The following is a 21,414-nucleotide window of genomic DNA, read 5'->3' as shown; positions in this document are numbered from 1 at the left end:
GATAAAATAGGCTGTACTTAGTTTTAATAATCTTTCCTATAGCAAAAATATATATTTCAGAATATAAATAGCATCTCTTCCCCAAGCCATCAGTCATTTGGGGATATAATACATTTAAAAAGTTGTTTTTTTTTTTTTGTTACTCTCTAAAAACTAAATTGAAAGCAAGTATTTAAGAGGGTTTTTTTTCCTATAAATGTTTTATTAGTTTTCCTAATGCACATTTTACCCATTTAAGCATTGTACATATGTACTACATTTGGTGGAATACGCATGTACAATTCTTCAAAAATAGTAAAGAGCAAAACAAACAAAAAATAGTAGAAGCACTGGAGAAATACACTATGGCATAAACTAGTTATGGGTGGGATGTCACATGGACCATATCTACACTCTGTGGCAACCTTCTTACCTGACTCCAAAGGATCAGATAATCAAACAGGAAATTATGGTAGGAAATCAGAAAATTGAAGTATGCATTCATATCCTAAGCATTTTATTTTAGCTCAAAATATAAAATATTCATCAGTTAGCCAAGCTTTGGATGAGAGATCATAGCCTCCTCTTTGATAGGAGTTTCTTGTTTTCTTGATTTCATGTTTCAGAGTTTTTAAACTTAAAGCACCCATGTGAAGAAATTTGAGTGCAGAATTCAACTACATCTTTCATTTTTGCCGAACTTTTACAATGTCTTTAAGTGATTCACATTTCTTCCGAGACATGTAACTTAGACTTTAAGGATACAAGGACTCTTTTTATTTGTACTCATCTTTTACTGGTTTTCACAATATTAAATAATGAAATTCTAATAAGAAGCACAAATGGCCTGAACAGGTTAAGGAAAAAATAAAACTAAGTTTGGACAAGCAAACAATTCAACCAGCTAGAGAAGTACAGGACATAAAAGAGAAGGGCCTTCTGGTGTTTTAAAGAAGAAGGAAAGAAACTAGACACAAATCAGTTACATGGAGGTCAAACAAGATGGCTCTACACTATTTAAATGATAACCAAAAAGCATTAAGGATTAAGAATCACTTAGTACAGTTTTGCACCTGGTGGAATGACTCTTAAGACATTCAAAGCAGGCCAGGCACAGTAGTTCACACCTATATCACATCTCAGCACTTTGGAAGAAAGAGGTGGGAGGACCACTTGAGCCCAGGAGTTCGAGGCTGTAGTGAGCTATGATTATGCCTCTACACTCCAGCCTGTGCAACAGAGTGAGACCATGTCTCTTAAAAAAAAAAAAAATCAAAGGAAGCTAACATTTTTCCTAGTTGCAAAGAAGTCCATAGAAAATTCAACTGATATCTCAAATTCCTTTATATTTACCTCAATGTTTAAATACCATTAATGTCAAGAAAGCCCTTCCTTTCTTTGACCAAAATGACTCACTCTCTAATTCAGTCCTATTTATTTAAGGTTTGTTTCAAAAAAGATGAAGCACTGGTTTTCATATGCACAAATACATTTTGAGTAAAAGGTTGCTTCAGAGGACAACTGGTGAAAATTACATGAAATTAATCATTTTTATGGAAGGATTATTTTTCATTACTTTAGCTGAAATTGAAGAGAATGTTCCAATATCAAACAGAACAAGAAATGCAATATAAGTACTACTTATTATACCCTAGGCATCTAAAAATTAATTCAATCAAACGAGGACCTATAAAATAATTCTTATTTTTCCATACCCTTAATAATGTAATACTTCAATTACATAATTTCCATCTTGATATAATATAGGAGAAAACACTAATTAATGGAACAGAACATACAAATCTGATCTTCTTGAAGATTGACACAAGGGGGTGACCCCAATAATGAAGTGAAACCAAAGGATGTAGCCAAGGAAATGGATAGAGAGAGGAAAGAGAATCATCAACAGTGAAACATCGAAGGCTTTTGGGAAGCAAGAAGCTTTGTTTACAGGAGGACTCCAATAAAGTTAAGTACAGCCAAAGCCTGAAATGTCTGTGCAATATTTAATGACTCTGTCAAACTAAACCTAAACATGATCAACAAGAGAGAGGCAGATCTCATGCTGAAACACAAAGTGAGCTTTTCAGACCAAAACAAGGAAAAGTTTTTAAAAAAGAAAAAAATTGAAAGAAATCTCTAGAAATCAAGGGTACATGTCCAAAGAAACCATGGTTCCAATTATAAAGAACGGAAAAAAGGAGCTGTATCTGAATGCAAGCTGACTCCTGTCCCCATCACCACCCTAAAACACTGAGGGTGCCAATTTGCCTGTGTAAAGTATTGTAGGCACAGAAAAATACTGGATGAAAAATATTAGCTTTGCAGATAGCATTGCTAAATTCCAAATATCTGGAAACCTTAACTTGAACTGAGGAAGTAAAATGCAAAACTTTGATATAAGAGGAATAAAAGCCTTTTCAAGTAGTGAAAGAAAAACATTTTAACTTGAAAGATTTCTTTTAAAAGCAACCAGAAGGCAGAACATCAAGATCCAACTCAAGTACTTTCTACATAATGGTACTAAATATATTGCTAAATCAAATGTACCTAGAAGCAGGAGAGCAGTTCTTTCAAAATCCCCAAAGCACTAAAAAATTTTAAAGTAAAATTTCACAAGGTTTGGAAAAACTAATCATATTCCCTATGTAAATTTTGATTGAGGATGCTTCAAGTCTACGTATAATCTGATAAATTGTTGGTGTTGCTATTGAGTATTCCTGCTTTTTAACAACGGATTCTTTCCTTCATCTATTTAGACACACAGTGAATAAATATTTATTGAACATCTACATGCAAAACAACCTGCTAGGACAAAAAGATAGTGGTTTTAAAGAAAAGAAATACAGTTGCCTTTATGGAGCTTATAATCAGGTAAGGGACTGAGGTAAAATTAGAATTAGGTGTTCTTACCATTAACATTTCACTATAAAGCACGTACTCATGTACAACAGGAAGCAGGGCCTCTGAGAGTCCAGACATCCGCTTTTCAGTGGCCTTACAGCATCTGTCAATGCAGCTGGCAACATCCTTTAGAGTATCAACCAGATCCTCTTCTGACGCTGACCACAGAATATGAATTGGGCCATATTCTTTCATTTCATCAAAATATTCTAAAAAAAAAAAAAGACTTAATAAGCTCTTCAATAAACAAAAGTTTTCAAAATACCTGTATCCTAGAGAGTAAGAAAGGGCCTTATTTCTCTCACAGTGCACATGTTCTTACACAAGAACATAAGAAAACGGATATCATCCTTCATTAAATCAACCAGCCATCACAGTTTGCCCCAGGTCAGTCTTTGAATGACTACTGTCCAAGTGTAATCAATAATAACATACCTTTTCAGTGTCAAAAATGTCTTGGCTTGAAAAATAAATTATATGACCATCATATCTATTTAGGCTTCTGCCTACCACACAACTATATCTGAGTACCTGACAGGCAACATGCCCTGAAAAAAACTTAGCATCTTCTTTCTCCCCTTCTTCTGACTATATATTCTACTTAGTGGTAATTACTATCCATAAATCTAAGCAAAAAATTGGGAGGTTATCCTAGAATCATACTTACACAGAGCCAGTAAATCACCAATTCCAAAACTTCGAGATCTTAAACTATCCATCTACCTATGTACTTATCTTCACTTCCACCACCATCAGCATCTCTAATCTGTACTGCTTCAAGGGTCTCCTAACTATTCTCCCTCTATTTTTATCAGAGTATAGAAACATTGACTCTTTGTAGCTAAATTAGAATTAGTTAAATTAAATTAGTTAAATTAGTCCTCACCGTCTGCTTCTCCAGGTCCAATGTGAAATTCTCTGCCAAAGATTTTAACTCAAGCCAAATTGCTTGTTCATTCATGAATAACCCATGATTTCTCTTTACAAAAACATTTGCACATGTCCCTCTGCCTTGTCCTCCATTTCTATCACCTGACAAACTACTTCTAATCCTTTAAATTCCAGTTCAAATAAATCTCCTCTGATTCTGTTCCAAAGGATTCATAGATGCTTTGGCCCTCAATGAGCTTATCATAATTTTATACTTCTATTAAAGCATTATCCCACTGTATTATAGATGTCTTATAACTCAAATGCTCTTGGCCACATACTCCTTAAAACAGGGACTGAGTCTTATTATTTTTCTATCTCAAACCCTTATATGTAATGAGTTCAATAAATATTTTCATATCAATGAAAGAATGCATACATGAGTAACCAAAGACCATTCAGTGTTTGATACGCTATGTATTCAAAAATTTTTGGATTTCATTTTAAAATGTGACTGTCTTTACAATTTTACATTCTTACTTTCACACTTAATTTTCAATGATGTATAGCTTTTTGTGGTGGAAAATTTATAAGCAGTGACCGTTTTTTGTTCACTATCCATATAAATACAATCAAATTATCTATATTTAACCATCTTACAACTCATTAGGGTTTGCTGATATCTGTCATATTTCTCTAAACTACTAAAACTTTAAAAGTCTGTATTAAATAAAAAGTTTAAAAATATGAAATTTAAAAACAATGGAGATACTAGTTGTTATGTAATGAACATTTAATCACCTCTGTAGTCCTTCCAAACTCCACCTTCCTGATCCTAGGCCTGTCTTTATGTTAAATAATGACCATACTGAACTAATTTCTGGAAAAGAAAATTTTCCACTTTCTTTTCTCAATTGAGTCAATTGAGAAATCTCAAATTTCTCATTTTCTCAATATATGTCAATGTCAGTCATTAAACCTGAACAATATTTATGTTTATATGCAAAGCTGCCCTAAAATTCTAAACTGTGCTTACATACCACTCAAATCAATCTGTATGCAAACATTTAGTTAGCTGCACTGTAATTTATCTGTTAATATACATATTTCCCAACTAGACTGTGAGCTTAACAGGTACCATCTTAATTACTCTTTGATACTCATTGATAGTTTATAAAGCTCTTAACTACCAATAGTTTCCAGACATCTCTTTGAATTGCCATACCACCTAACTATGCATCCAGAATCTACTTAATAGAACTGGAATCACAGAACCTAGTTAAAATAATTCACTTATTCAGGTTAAAAAAAAAAGACAAATAATAAATGTAAGGGCAAACCAAAGAGGTTTAAAATAAATTATTATACTACATTCAGTCACTACAGTAATCTCATCAGGGGTCAATGCATGAAAAAAAGTTAGAAAAGGGGCAAAGTACATGCAGTTATAATTTTTTTCTATATCTCTTTTTAAAACCAATCAATTCTTAATAAAGCACCTTTTCCTACACCATTCCAAATCTTATGTTCATTCGTGGTTTTTTTTCAATCACTGAACAAATTTTAATTAAGTACTTATTATGTTTAAACACTGCCCGGATACTAGAAATAAGATATTTCCCAGCTTATCCTGACTGGCAGTACAGTTAAGTAGAGGTCAATTAACAAATAAGCCATCAACTTAGGAACTTTTGTTTGTCTTTATGTAGTTCCTCATCTCTAATAACAAATTATATTAGGAAATTATTTGCTGACTCAGTTATCTATTTTTTAATGTAAGTAAATGCAATTAGAAAATTAGGGGAAAAAATCATCACGTGATTAGAATTAGAAAAAAATTCACCAACAATTCTGATTTATAAACTAAAAAAAAAAAAGAAAATAGGAAAAGAGGCAGATTTTCCAATACGTAAATCTCTCTGCCATACTTCGACAGGTTTAATACAGAGTATCTGTTCCCTCCAGAAAAAAATAATTACCAGAAAATATGAAAACCCTATTTCCTGAAACATCACTTCTTTGATTCTGAGCTCTGTTCCATGTTGAATACAAACAACCACATCCACAATCTTTAACTCGGGCTTACTTTACCACTATTATCTATGAATGGGAAGTAGAGCAGCTAGTGATTGATAAAAGTGAAAATGGAGACTGGCCATAACTACCTTCGAAATCATTTAGGAATCAGAAATGTCCATAAGATGGCTAGGAATAAGCCACACTTTGAAGCTGACATTCTAACTGAATGTTGCTATATTACACCAACAAATGTGAAGATTCATCAGAAACTGAACAACTTTGAAATCACATTTCAGTAATTCTACTTACCCCTTTCTTCCTTATAAATTCTCTGAGATATTTTATCTATCAAATTTATTTTCTGGCTAAATAGTTCAATAAAGTTATTCATTTCCATGAACTCCTCTGGGCGGTTTTTAACTCCTCTCATTGAGGACGCAACAGCTCTGACGGTTTGCCCCATCCTGCTTAGCAAGCCAGGACCTTGCTTCTTGTGAGAAGAGAGTTCCTAGAAACAAAAAACCAAGTATTTCTAGTGAAACAAGTCTCAATATTCCGAGACTCAATACAAAAATAAACCTAATTAGGAGAATAAAATCAAGATAAAATGGTTTCATAGGCATCAATCTTTTTTAATGTTAGCTTGAAGCAGATGAGCTTTATTAAGGTACAGTGTTTCCTCTAAGTGGCAGCCTCAATAATATTCCCTTTCACACTACTCATGTAAAACAGGTATATAGTCTTTCCTCAGACCGTAAATCTTTAAAAGAACAGGGTTTAACCGACAGAATAGTGCTCAATGAGATACTAGAGGAGATAAGGATAATATGACATACCATCTATATTTTATAATAGGAATTTAATGGAAAATGATTGAGAGAAGATTTCTCAGGGCCTAAGTTATACTCCAAAAAATAAAATTGGAAAACTTCATTAATTCTTTAGATGTAATAGTAGCTAACATTTATTTAGAGCTTAATACATTCTGGGCACTATACTGACATTTTAATACACGTAATTCACCATAAACCTATGAGGTAGGTTTTATTATTTTCCTCATTTTACAGAAGAAAATAGAGGCACAGGAAAGTTAACTAACTTGCTCAAGATCCCAGAGCAGGCCGGGTGCAGTGGCTCACGTCCGTAATCCCAGTACTTTGGGAGGCCGAGGAGGGCATACATGAGGTCAGGAGATCGAGACTACCCTGGCTAACACGGTGAAACTCCCTCTCTACTAAAAATACAAAAAAATTAGCCTGGCGTGGTGGCAGGTGCCTGTAGTCCCAGCTACTTGGGAGGCTGAGGCAGGAGAATGGCGTGAACCCAGGAGGCAGAGGTTGCAGTGAGCCGAGATCATGCCACTGCACTCCAGCCTGAGCCACAGAGCGAGACTCCATCTCAAAAAAAAAAAAAAAAAAAAAAAAAAAAATCCCAGAGCAATTAAGTGGTAGAGCAAGAACTGGAATCCTGGAAGTCTGATTCCAGAGGCTTCATTATTAAGCACCAACTTGCTCTGCCCGCTTAAAGTCATTAGGATGGTTTGTAAATAGATACTACCTGAACATAGCACTTCAGCCAAATGAAGTGGGTAAACAGTGACACCACCTTCACCAACTGGCTGTCTACAGAGAAAACTTTTTTTTTTTTTTTTTTTTTGAGACGGAGTCTCGCTCTTTCGCCCAGGCTGGACTGCAGTGGCACAATCCTGGCTCACTGCAAGCTCCGCCTCCCGGGTTCATGCCATTCTCCTGCCTCAGCCTCCTGAGTAGCTGGGATTACAGGTGCCCACCACCGCGCCCGGCTAATTTTTTGTATTTTTAGTAGAGACGGGGTTTCACCGTGTTAGCCAAGATGGTCTCGATCTCCTGACCTTGTGATCCGCCCGCCTCGGCCTCCCAAAGTGCTGGGATTACAGGCGTGAGCCACCGCGCCCAGCTGAGAAAACTTGTAATAAGATACGAAACTAGTTATTTCATACTTAACCTAGGAGGGACGACTATAGACTTGCAAAATAGAAAACATCCTATAAAAGAATATACTGCACAGAAACATATCCCTTGAGAAGTATGGCATAAGTTAAAAGAACAAATACAAACAAAAAAGGACAAGGGATTTTAATAATCATTGTGGCCCTTGTTGAGACACAAGCTTGGGATCGAATAAAATATATGATCAAATAAAATACTGCTGACTACCTAATTTACAGATAAAAATATTATATATTATTTACCCAAATATTAAATAACACATTGTCTATCTTCCTTCAGGTTTTCATTCCTGAATATCTTGCAGAATACATACAAAGTAAACTTGTTTATTTCCAATTCTGTGTGATTTCTTTTGTGCCAATAATAACAGATGCCATCCTTGACCAGGCAATACATCCATCCAAGAGTGCTACAGCCTCATTTGATAGAGTAAACATTATCAGAGACAGCTCACGTCACAACTGGCAAGCTGTTACTGAAACTGTTGACTGTAGAAAATATTTCTAACAGCTTCTAAGGTTCTGAAGTCAGGCCGCATATTCATTTCACATAAGTCACAAAGGGCTTCCATAGAGGACTATCTGTCAAGATTGAAATGAACCACTTTTTAGCTTCTACCACTGGCAACAACTGAGAGATATAAAACTCAACATTTGCCAGTAACTGTTTAATATTGACCCTTTGTCCTGTCTGGTATCTTTCTTGCAGAGTTATAGCTTTATAGAATAAAAGAAAAAACAAGTAGAATGGATAAGGTTTCTGTATTAGAAATTAGACACTCCCCCACTTAGATAATTAAAGGAAAAGTAAGGAGATTATATTATCTATCTGTCCGTCCATCCATCCATCCATCCATCCATCCATCTCCATTCATCCATCTACCCATTTAATAAGGACTTTTATCCTAACTTAAAAAGCCCTGATCCATTATTACTCAAAATAAAGTAGACCCTTGAACAACACAGGTGTGAGCTAAGCAGGTCCACACATGTGGACTTTTTTCAATAAATATACTGGAAAATTTTTTGGAGATTTGTGACAACTAAAAAAACCTCACAAACCACATAGTCCAGAAATGTAGAAAAAACTGAGAGAAAGGTATGTCATGAATCCACAAAATGTATGTGGATACTAGTCTATCATTTACTACCCTAAAATGTGTATAAATCTATTATAAAAAGTTAAAATTTATCAAAACGTATGCACATATTTTGACTTACATGCCACCATATGCAGTTGAGAGAAATGTAAACAAACATAAAGATGCAGTATTAAATCAAAACTGCTTAAAATTAACTACACTACACACTGTACTATTGTACTATTTTTGTAGCCCTCCTGTTGCTATTTGTGGTGAGCTCCAGTGTTGTGAATATCTGCTTAAAATGCCATGTGACGCTGATCATCTCCATGTGAGTAGTTCATCTCTCCATTAAATTGGGTGTAGCAGTAAAAAGTGATCTCTTGTGGTTCCCATGTATTTTTTTTATTGTGTTTAGTGCAATACTATAAACCTGAAATAATACCATGGGACCCATATGAAGTGCCACTAGTGATGCTGGAAATGTTCCCAAGAAGCAGAGAAAAGTCATGTCATTACAAAAAAAGTTGAATTGCTTGCTAAGTACCATAGACTGAGGTCTGCCACTGTCATTGCCCTCCATTTCAGACTGACAATTCATCTTGTAAACAGACAACATAAACTTGGTATCAATAAATACAGTAGAATACTGTTGGTATATTTTGTCTTCCTTAGGATTTTCTTAAATAACATTTTCTTTTCTCTAGGTTACTTTATTGCAAAAAATACAGTATATAATACACAAAAGGTATACATATGTGTTAACCAACTGTTTATGTTACAGTTAAGGCTTCCAATCAACAGGAGGCTACTAGTAGTTAAGTTTCTGAGAAATTAAAAGTTACACATGGATTTTCAATTTCATAAGGGGTTGGCTTCCCTAACCGCCATGTTGTTCAAGGGTCAACTACAGTGTCAATGAAAGAAATATATTTATACCTGTTCAGTATTTGCTATTTATGCAAGAAGCACCCTGACATAAAAACATTAGAGAGAGAGAGAGAGAGAGAGAGAGAGAGTGTGTGTGTGTGTGTGTGTGTGTATATATATGGAGAAGATACAAGATTTCTGTAATATTTATATGTAGATTTGACACAGGGTTATATCTGAAGGATAACTCTCCAGTGTTTCTGAAAAATTCCATCTCAATTCAAGTACACCACTGCATGATTTGTAACGGTAAACAAGAGGAACAATACAATCTACTATAGATACAGACACCCAAAGATTATATGAGTATAAATAAAAATCATTTACCCAAGCTTGTGCAGTGAGAAAAATTTTGAAGTCTTCATTAAATGTTAAAGTTGGATGATCAGCAATTCGGTTCAAAAATTTATGTAAAGCCTTCCTGCGTGTCTCAATGAAGTCATCGTTAAAGCGTTCCACCATTCCTTTTACTATAAACTTTTCTGGCAATGGCTAAGGCAAAAAAAATTAAAAAGGTATTCAAGTATTATTAGCCATAGGTTTATAAGCAATTCTACGCTTTCCCTGTTTGGAAGACTAGTTGAACATCTGATCATTTCTTATAAAAATAATTTTTAAAAATTCACAATGTTAGAACCAAAAATGAGAAATCATAACACATTATGAAGAGTTTTTTTTAAAAAAAAAATGTACATTGATTGAAACACTTAGAAATAAATATTATTCCTAAGATAAATGAATTACAGTGAACTTAAGGTCTGAAATTAGGTTTTAGGCATTCAAAAAGACTCACTAGAAAACTGGTAGCTATTCTATGAAAAAAAAAATTTTGCAAACTTACTGGAATAATCAGAGTGGGGTGTGCTTCTTCCAGTTTTCCCTTCAACCAAAGGAAATCTTGATATCGTCTCCTAACTTCAAATTCACTGGAGTCAAATTCCCCACGAGATGTCTGAAGAAAGTAAGAGAAAATAACAGCACATGCAATATAAGATAGAAGGTATTTGCCTAACGTTATTTTAGACATTGTGAAATAAATGGGTCTCTAAGAAAAATTAACACATCCTAATTATTCAGTGTTTGTCAGCCTGTAATTTTTTTCTTTTTTGTCATCTATTCATGTAGCAGATGAAATAAAGCAAACTTTCTGGTATTTCCAGAAAGAAAGCAAATATCATACTTAAATTTAAAATCCAAACTGAAAAATCTGTCTTACAACAACCATCTGCCTTCCACAAGATTTTAACTACTATTATCTTTGGCATGACTTTCTTGCTAACAAGCAAGTGTGTTCTGAATTTAGGTTTCAAATATATTTCTTTTCTCAAGATGATTAGAATTCAGAATTTGAGGAAAGTCCTATTTTTGCAATTTGGAAAATAACCTGAATGTAACTGAGAAAAATGTTTTCTTGGAATTTGCTCAAATGAATTGCTGTGCTAGGATTTGCTTTTAGTATATGAAAATTCTAACATTTTAGAGTGATTTTACCACTGTTTAAAAAGTAATTAATAGACATTTGATGTGAAAAGAAAATCTTCCTGTCATTTCTCAAAGAATTTTATTTTGGGTTATATGCCTAAACTCCTAAAAATTAAGCAAATACATTAAAATATCTGTTCTCAACAAACCAAAAATCCATGCCAACACATATGACAAGAAGAACATGGGTACAATATCAACCTCATTTCTATTGCCTGAGTCCCAAGCCAAAGATAAAAATATGAGTTATCTAATGTACACTCACCTCTCATAGGAAAACAGTCACTCACACCAATACCTTATTTAACTGAATTTTTGCATATTAAAAATTACATGCAGTAATATTTAGGTTGAAATTTTCCTGCAGAAGTAAACATGGAATAACACATTGCATATATATTTCACACTCACCAGAAATATCCATCACCCACACAGATGTACACAATTGTAAATTAAACAGTCCAAGTCATAAGATGCAATCTTCAATGTCATAAAATAAGGTCCATGAAAGCTATACTTTCCAAAGTTTATTCTCTTAAAATGAATGTTCAGAATATCATACAATGTATCTTTGTACAACATTCCCTTTATAATGGGAAAAAGTGGGAGCGAATGAAATGCAGAAATCTAAGAAACTAAATGTTCACAAAACACTACAAAATCTTAACTATTATGCAACATGGTACATGATATGGAAATGGTAAAAACAGGAAAACTATATCAAATACCAGCACAGTTTAATAATATAGACTGGTCAGTGTATGTCCATATGCAAATAGATGCATGCACACATACATATGCACCCAAAACATGGTTTAGAGTAACTCATTAAAAAATATTACTGAGCATCTCCTTGTACCGGGTACATACGTACAGGTCCACTACCAATTTCTAAGAATATAAATTGCCATAACGAACAATGAAGCACTCAAAAGAAAAAAACCAGCAGTTAAAATAAGATTGAGCTGTATACGTCCCTAAGAATATCCAACATTTTAAGTAAGCATAAAACAATCTAGTATAAATTCCAGTAAGAAGATATAAAATCAAGTCAAATAATTGGTTCAGTCTATCCTCATCACTCTGTCACTGACTCAAAAGAATTCTCTAATGTAGTGCAACAGAAGAAGAAAACAGAGGATAAGTGCAAGCAACGAGAAGAATATGTTATTTCTTCCTACTGTAAGATTTCATTCTTCTCTTGAAGGGTTGTAAGAGACACATATGTAGGAATATGATAAGGAAAACAGTCATTATCAGCAGGGTTTGGAACAAGACTAATTTCCCTACAGCAAGTAATAGAATCATTGTCCCTTCTAAAGTGGACAAATTTGATCACTGTAAGATGTCGCAGTGGCTCACGCCTGTAATCCCAGCATTTTGGGAGGCCGAGGCAGGCAGATCACGAGGTCAGGAGTTCGAGACAAGCCTGACCAACATGGTGAAACCCCATCTTTACTAAAAATACAAAAATTAGCCAGACGTAGTGGCACGCACCTGTAATCTCAGCTACTCAGGAGGCTGAGGCAGGAGAATCACTTGAACCCAGGAGGCAGAGGTTGCAGTGAGCTAAGATCACGCCACTGTACTCTACCCTGGGTGACAGAGCGAGACTCTGTCTCGAAAAAAGAAAAAAAGAAAAAAGATGCACAAAAGCTTCCAAACAAAAGCTTCCAAACTGTAGAAATAACTGGGTTTGATAACATATATCCAACTTAGAAATATCATGTATTTCATAAAGTGCATTTGGAGTATAAATAATGCTTCTAACATAGAATACAGTTTTCTATGGAAGCAACATTGAAAATGCTGGCCAATTTTTCATGTTTGACCATAAAAGCTTGGGTATTTGAAGTTTAGTACTAATGAACTTGTGTGATCTCTACCCCCAAAAGCATTTATTCCAAAAATACCAACCTTCAGTCAAGTGTGAACAGTTATTCTAAACTCATTATTTAGAAAACTTTTTTTGAGGGAAAATGAAACTTAATAGTCAGTTCAGCCAATCAAGAATACAGCTTAACTCCTAACTATACAATGACAGGCATTTATAGGTTTGTTTTCACAAAGAGGAAGTGGAAGGAAAGTACCTTGTTAAATCTCTTCATTCTTACTCTTATATGTACTAAGAGAACGTACATCTTTAGATCTCCAAAAGAGAAAATACTTCTCTATAACAGTCACTTAAAATATGCTAACCTAGACAACAAAGGGTAATTTCCCATAAAAAGAACAGATGCCACAAATGTGGTCTTCCCGATACAATCATTCACAGTTGGATCATTCTTAAGTATTCCTAAATAGGTGATTGTCCATGTATGTATGTGTATATTCATTTACCCTTACAATCCTTAGTACCCATGAATATAAATATTTACAAAACTAAGATTTTCCCAGGAAAGCCATCTTTCAACCTCCAAATTAGATGGTGTATCCCATGCTCATAATATCCAATATTTTTCCTTCAAAATATTTATAACTATAAAGAAATTACTTAGTATATGATATGGTTTGGCTGTGTCCCCATCCAAATCTCATCTTGAATTGTAATAATCCCCATGTGTCAAGGGCGGGGCCAGGTGAAGATAATTGAATCATAGGGGCAGTTCCCCCATACTGTTTTCATGGTAGTGAATAAGGCTCATGATATCTGATGGTTTTATAAATGGGGGTTTTCCTGCACAAGCTCTCTCTTGCCTGCTTCCATGTAAGATGTGTCTTGCTTCCCCCTTGCTTTCTGCCATGATTGTGAGCCCCCTACTCCAGCCATGTGGAACTGTGAGTCAATTAAATGTCCCGCCTTTATAAATTACCCAGTACTGGGTATGTCTTTATTACCAACATGAGAACAAACTAACACAGTACAAAATTAATTATTTAATATCATCATATGCAAACACCCCTTCTTCAGAGTGAAAACACCAGGAAAGCAGAAAGTTCCTTTTGTCAGACCTATCCTGATCACTGATATATTCTTAATATATAAGCACAATACTTGGGACAAACGGGGTACTCAATAAAACTTGTGGAATAAGTAAGTAAATGATAATAAGAAAAGACTATTTGATAACATGATCTACATGTACTATTTATATATTTGTATCTGTAATATATATTTCTGTATATATAGATATAGTCTATATACTATGAAATAGTAAAAGTAATTAGAAGTAGAACAATGGAAGTCATTTATAATAGTTAAACTGAAAGTTTACCACATCCATACCTAAATGCACAAAAATATAATAGAAAAAATGTATACTATGAAAGTAAACTGTTTGGATTTAAATCCCAGCTCAGCTAATTACAATGTTGTGTAACCTTTAACAAGCTACTAAGTTTCGGTGTCCTCGTGCATGAAATGGGGGTAAATCATAATATCTACGTTTGAGGATTACTGTGAGCCTAAATGAGTTAACATGTAGAAACTGGTTAGAATATTACCTGGCACAAAGCAGTCACACAGTAAATGTTTGCTAGTTTATATATTTTCATATTATTATTACTACTACTATTACTACTTCTATAAGACCAGTCCATTTAAAGTATGTGTAAATAGAAAAACTCAGAAGAGCAGTATGTCTATGATCAGAATGAAACTCACAAGGTGGCTTTAGAAAGAGTGTCTTTCTGAGAGACGCAAATGATGGAAAAATAATTCAGTTTCACAAATTATTTGCTAGAATGGATAATGACAATAGATAATTATAACAGTAGTAATAGAAGAAATTTGGCTCTACTCTAGCAGTATGCCTGTATTAACATATTCAATCTTCATAAAGACCTTATGAGGTTAGTACTGTTATCCTATTTACAAACAAGAAAACTAATATAGAGAGGTTAATTAAATTGTCCAAGTCACATAGCAAGGAAGGAGAGAAATCAAGATTCAACTCCATGTTGTCTTGCTCTACCACATCTTGATATAGCTAAGATAATTCCTTCACTCATTCATCAACAAAATAAATAGTTTACTTATTATGTCCTAAGATTTGTGTTTGGAATTATGGATAACTTAAAATATAGTTACCTTCCTTGAGAAACTCACAAACTCACTGAGAATAAATACAAATAAACATCTATTCACATACAGGTAGATGGCAATTACTGAACACTTATCGTGTGTTAGGCACTTTACTAAGTGGGGTGTGCATTGATTACTTATTCTACTGCAACCCTACAGAAGTGAGTTCTATTATCTCAGTTTCATTGATTTAAAAAAACAGCTTAGTTGGATTAAATATATGCTTTTGATATTTTGCTATATTGACTCTTATGTTTTACATTCCTTAAGAGTTCAATAGAACAGTATGAGAAAACAGAGGAAGAATAACTATTTCAGCCAGGGGACAGTAACAACTAGAGAAGCTTTCACAGGCATCTAACATTTTGAGTTGTATATTGAAAACTAAGCATGACTTCTTCTGTCTAAGAAGGGGATGGACACAGCAAACAGAAGGAAAACTATATGCAGTTTTGAGAGCAAGAGATCCCCTAAATATTCAGAAAACAGAAGCAGCTCTACCTGAGTGGAAAGCAAGGTACTGAATGTGAGGTGTAACAAATAAGTCTTATATGGTAAGTGGGCACCAGACTGAGAAGCCTCTTTATATGTCATACAAGAAAGTCGGCACTTTGCTCTGCCTGAAATAAGGGGCCAAGAAAGGATTTTAAGAATTCAAGTGAAGAAATAAGATATATATATCTTCAGGAAACATAACTAATAGCAGTGTGGCAGTTTCATTGGAAGAAGTGATTATAGAAACATAGTTCAGAACTTTTTCAGCTAAAAAAAGAGATGTACTTTTTACATTTATGAAATATAAAAGTCTAGGGTGACGCTTCATAAACAAAATATTATAAAGAGAATTATTTTCAAATGCTATTAAATAAAGGACTTAAAATACAGATTATACTAGGTGGTTGCTTAATTGTGTCTGAGGTAAATTGTCTTTGTAGCACTTCGCCCTACGATTAAAGAGATCTGTGTTCTAGATCTACTTTGCTCTTGAATTATTGCACACATAACAGTATCTCATACATGAGACAAAGTGGCCACCTGTCCCACTTTGAAAAACAAATGGTACCATATTTTATAATCTTCCAAAGAAATCTGAATACATAATATTGCGAACTGTTTAAGCATTTTCTTTTTTTATTAACAACTTGAGGCCCATCTTTTCCAAAGGTATTTCTTAATACTTTTTTAAACTAAAAACCTAGATATTCTTATTCTAAGAAGTATAGCTGCTATAAAATGAGTGACTATTTCTCAAGTCAAGTTGAATTTCACTGACTTAATACAGAACAAGTGAAGGGCAGATAAGAAGCAATGTGTTAGCCAAAAGGTTTGAAAAAGTAAAAGTCAATTCAGCTAAGATCTTGGAATGTTCAGAATTATAATGAACAAGAGGTACTTACTTCCAAAGCTTAAAAAAAAGCAGCTATATTCAAGAAAATATTCACCAAATGTTTACCTTAGTAATAATCCTATACGTAATGAAAGTTTCTATTGTAGTAACATGACTTTCAGGTTCATCAACTGTGATGAAGAGATCCTTTAAATCTGGTTCATCCTCAAACTTGATTTGGTTTATCATTGATAAAGGGGATGTTGGCATCATAGGGCTGAAGGAGTTCATGTCCATCAATGAGGCATCCTAAGAAATAAAACATTCAAAAATTAGTATCAATAGAAAAATTAAACTCTTCTATTTCTAGATGCTATCAATATTAATGAAATATATCAAGAACAAAAGGGATTATTGGACTTTTAGTTAAATGTGGTATACTGAACATGTATTTTTATCTGTTTCCTCTTGAAAATCCCACCCAAAAGATGACAGTAAAGAAAGAAACAAACAAATGAAAAGTATAAACCCTCAAGGATTGCTATGGTTTGAATGTTTCTGTTCCCTCCAAATGTCATGTTGAAACTTAATCCCCAATGCAATAGTATTAAGAGGTGGAGCCTTTAAAGGTGAGTAAGTCATAAGGGTAGAGCCCTCATGAATGGTACTAGCCACCTTATAAGAGGGCTGTAGGGAACGAGCTAGTGCCTCTCCTGCCCTTTCACTGTCTGCCATGTGGGGACACAACAAAAAGACACACACCATCTTGAAGCTGAGAGCATCCCTTGCCAGAGGCCAAAACTGCCAGCATATTGATCTTGAACTTCCCAGCCTCCAGAACTGTGAGAAATCAATTTCTATTATTTATAAATTACCCAGTCTCAGATATTTTGTCACAGTAGCACTAATGGACTCAGGCAAGAATAAGAAGAAAAAAACTATGGTAAACGAAATGTGCCAACTGCTTTTTGGAAACTGGAGATCTGATCGTCAAGTGGTAACTAAAATAGCAGTGCAGAGAAAACTGAAAAGTAATCTAGAAGAGAACAGTAAACTAGGAAGAGGCAAGGATATTTATGATGTAGAATGCCAGAAAGGTTCAAGAATTGGAGGCACCAAGAACCTGTGGACATAAAGGTTGTGGCAGAGCAGAAACCAGATGATTGGTTATTAAGAAGATCTAATAAAACAAGAGTTAGAACCTCAGATTCCCTCACCTACCCTAGGCAATCAGGTAACTTTCCCACCCCAATTTGGTAGAACACTGGAAGTCTACTTTCTGAAAGGTCTGAGCTCGAGGGCATCCAGTAGGATAGGGAAGAAGTCCTATGAAAATACAGATATCAAGTGAAAGTCCTGCATACCAGACTAAAAGACATGCAAACCTGTTCATCTGGTCCCAAGAACGTTGGCAGGAAGGTGCAACCCCCACCCCATCATAGTCCATTCAGGCTGTTATTAAAGAAAACTACAATAAACTAGGTAGCTTACAAACAACAGAAATTTATTTCTCACAGTTCTAAACTAGGAAGTCCAAGATCAAGATGTCAGCAGATTCAGCGTCTGGTGAGGGCCCACTTTACAGAACAGCTTCCTTTCACTATAATCTCACATGGTAAAAGGGGGGAGGGTCTCTCTGGGGTCCTTTATAAGGGCACCAATCCTAATCATGAGAGCTCCACGCTCATGATCTAATCACCACCCAAAGGCTCCACCTCCTACTATCATCAGCTTGGCAGTAGCATTTCTATGTATGAATTCTGGGTGGACACAAATATTCATACCACAGCACCCACCATAGTTGGAAGTTTCCTCTCTTAGCTGATCTTGGAGAAAAACTGACAGTTGTAGTCCCCTAATGAATTAGCCAGGTCTCTGCATAACCACCCTACATCAAAGCCCCTACCATGCATGCAGAATGTCTACTCTGCTTTTTATTATTTGGTGTAGGATCTACCAAACATCCAAACACGAGGAAAGGCTCTGACGTGAAATAAAGTCACAAACAAACCAAAACAGAAGATTAGAGGAAGCAGATAGAACAGAGCATAAACACTTTTTAAAAAACCATGAAATCACCAGAAAGATAAGAGAAAATATTAAATCCATGAATGAAAGCATGCTCTTTTTAAAAAGAAAATTCAGAGAACAGCAACACCACCAACCAAAAAAGAGACTCATGAAAATTAAAATATGATAGCAATATAAAAATGCAACAGAAAGTCTGAAAATCAGAGCTCAAGAACTGTCCTACTATGTGAACCAAAAGAACAAGAGATGGAAAATGAGAAGATTTTTTAAATTGAAGGATACAGGCAGGCAGTGCCTGAATAAAAGGAATTCCAGAAAATGAGAAAGAAAAATATCCTTGACATAAAGTTGATAGGGCCTGTGAGGTCTCCCCAAAATGAACAGGACACTGGTTGGGTAGGTAGTACTCCTACAAGCATCCATCACCATGACATTTCATAACACTAGAGATTTTTAAATTCCCTAAAGATTTAAGAAACAATATAAGTAAAATAAAGGAGGAATCTTGGGAATCAGAATGGCATCAGAGTTCTTAAATGGTGATGCTGGAAACTACATGATAATAAACTAATGTCTTCAAAATTTTGAGAGAAAAGTATTTTCAACCTAGAATTATACATATCCAGGCAATTGTCATTCAAATATACAGGTAGAATTAAGCCATTTCAGAAATAGAAGATTTCAAAAACTTACTTCCCATGTACCTATTCTTTGGAAGCTTCTTTACTTCTCCAAAATAAGAGAATATGCCAAGAAAGAAAAAAATAGAATCTAAAAACAAGAGATACAACAGAAGATCAAAGTAAAGGGAATTCCCTGGAAAATAATGTTCTACATTGACAGTTTTGCAGCAAACCTAGAGAACAGCCCATATACACTGGACCAGGAAAATAAATATCCAGGGTATCAAGGAGATGACAAGGAGAAAGAATAAAGGAAGCGAGGGATGAAGGAAAAGGGGATGGTGGAGAACAGAATACGAAAGGGGAATAAGCAGAGGAGGAAAGGAAACAGAGAAGGTGAGAGAGAAAAACAAGGAAGAAAGGGAATTAAAAAAAGGAAGTAAAAGAAGGACAAAAAAAGGAAGAAAAGAAAACTGATAATGACATAAATGTGATAGGAAGCATGCCTATGTTAGATCTGTAGATAAATTATAATTGGTGTAAGAAAGTTAAGGAGAGAGAAAGCAAAAGAGAGAAAAGGAGGGATGAGAAAACTTTTACTTATTGAGAGTAAGCTAGAAACATGTTGCCCCATTATTCCTAAATAGGTCTGTGTGTATTTTCAGAAAACAAGAATACTCTCCTACCTAACCATAGTACCGATCCAGGTATTTGAATCGGGAAATTAGCACTGACGCAATACAACAGTCTAATCCACAGACCCTTTTGAATTTCTCTGTCCCAAAAATATCCTAAAATGTTCTTCCCCTCTAGTACAGAACTAAATCCAGGTTCATCTGTTACATTTAACTGTTATATCTCTGGTCCCCTTCAATCCGGAACCATTTCTCACCTTTCACTTTCTATTATGGTATAGACCTATTCGAAGCTACTTTATAGGCAATGTTTCCTTTCTCTCAAATATATACATACGTTTTTCTCTCTCCCATCATCTTATCACCATTTTAAGGTAGATAGAGGTTTAAGAAAAAAATTATTTTTATTCACAGCCAAGCCATATAGTGAATTATGATTACATTTTCATTCTTCTACTGCTTTAAAAAATATCTTATAGTGATAAGGTCTTGCTATGTTGCCCTGGCTGGTCTCAAACTCCTGGCTTCAAACAATCCTCCTGCCTTGACCTGTGACAAGGTTTGGTTGTGTCCCCACCCAAATCTTATCTTGAATTGTAACTCCCACGATTCCCATGTGTCATGGGAGGAAACTGGTGGGAGATAATTGAATCATGGGGGCGGGTCTTTCCCGTGCTGTTCTCCTGATAGTGAATAAGTCTCATGAGATCTGATGGTTTCAAAAATGGGAGTTTCCCTTCACAAGTTCTTTCGGCCTGCTGCCATCCATGTAAGATGTGACTTACTCCTCCTTGCTTTTCACCATGATTGTGATGCTTCCCCAGCCACGTGGAATTGTAAGTCATTAAACCCTTTTCCTATACAAATGCCCCAGTCTCAGGTATGTCTTTATCAGCAGCATGAAAATGGACTAACACAGTAAATTGGTACTAAGAGTGGGGCACTGCTGAAAAGATACCTGAAAATGTGGAAGCAACTTTGGAATTGGACAACAGGTAGAGGCTGGAACAGTTTGGAGAGCTCAGATGAAGACAGGAAAATGTGGGAAAGTTTGGAACTTCCTAGAGACTTGTTCAATGACTTTGACTAAAATGCTGATAATGACATGGACAATGAAACCCAGGCTGAGGTGATCACAGATGGAGATGAGGAACTTGTTGGGAACTGGAGCAAAGGTGACTCTTGCTATGTTTTAGCAAAGAGACTGGTGGCATTTTGCCCCTGCCCTAGAGATTTGTGGAACTTTAAACTTGAGAGAGATGATTTAGGGTATCTAGTGGATGAAATTTCTGAGCAGCAAAGCATTCAAGAGGTGACTTGGGTGCTGTTTAAGGCGTTTAGTTTTACAAGGGAAGCGGAGCATAAAAGTCCAGAACTTTTGCAGCCTGATAATGTGATAGAAAAGAAAATCCCATTTTCTGAGGAGAAATTCAAGCCAGCTGCAGAAATTTGCATAAGTAACAAGGAACTGAATGTTAATCCCCAAGACAGTGGGGAAAATCTCTCCAGGGCATGCCAGAG

The 21,414-nt window shown here is 35.1% G+C and overlaps 1 protein-coding gene across 9 annotated transcripts in view; it reads right to left on the bottom strand.

Annotated features, from left to right (window-relative positions):
• The window catches only part of SNX7 (sorting nexin 7), a 99,182-nt gene that overhangs the window by 58,703 nt on the left and 19,065 nt on the right, over window positions 1-21,414 (bottom strand). For 8 of the 9 annotated variants that reach the window (NR_033716.2, XM_017001425.3, XM_017001428.2 and 5 more), the window contains 5 exons: window positions 16,731-16,913; window positions 10,613-10,723; window positions 10,099-10,263; window positions 6,082-6,280; window positions 2,893-3,092 (listed from right to left, as the gene is read on the bottom strand). Coding sequence is in view for 8 of the 9 variants with exons in the window: in NM_015976.5 (NP_057060.2) it covers window positions 2,893-3,092; window positions 6,082-6,280; window positions 10,099-10,263; window positions 10,613-10,723; window positions 16,731-16,913 (858 nt within the window). In the remaining variant the exon portion in view is untranslated. The remainder of the gene's footprint in view (window positions 1-2,892; window positions 3,093-6,081; window positions 6,281-10,098; window positions 10,264-10,612; window positions 10,724-16,730; window positions 16,914-21,414) is intronic. The other variant, NM_152238.4, reaches the window with a different exon arrangement.

Source organism: Homo sapiens, chromosome 1 (assembly GCF_000001405.40).
Source record: "Homo sapiens chromosome 1, GRCh38.p14 Primary Assembly".
Taxonomy (NCBI): domain Eukaryota; kingdom Metazoa; phylum Chordata; class Mammalia; order Primates; family Hominidae; genus Homo; species Homo sapiens.
This window is presented reverse-complemented; position numbering and strand designations above follow the sequence as displayed.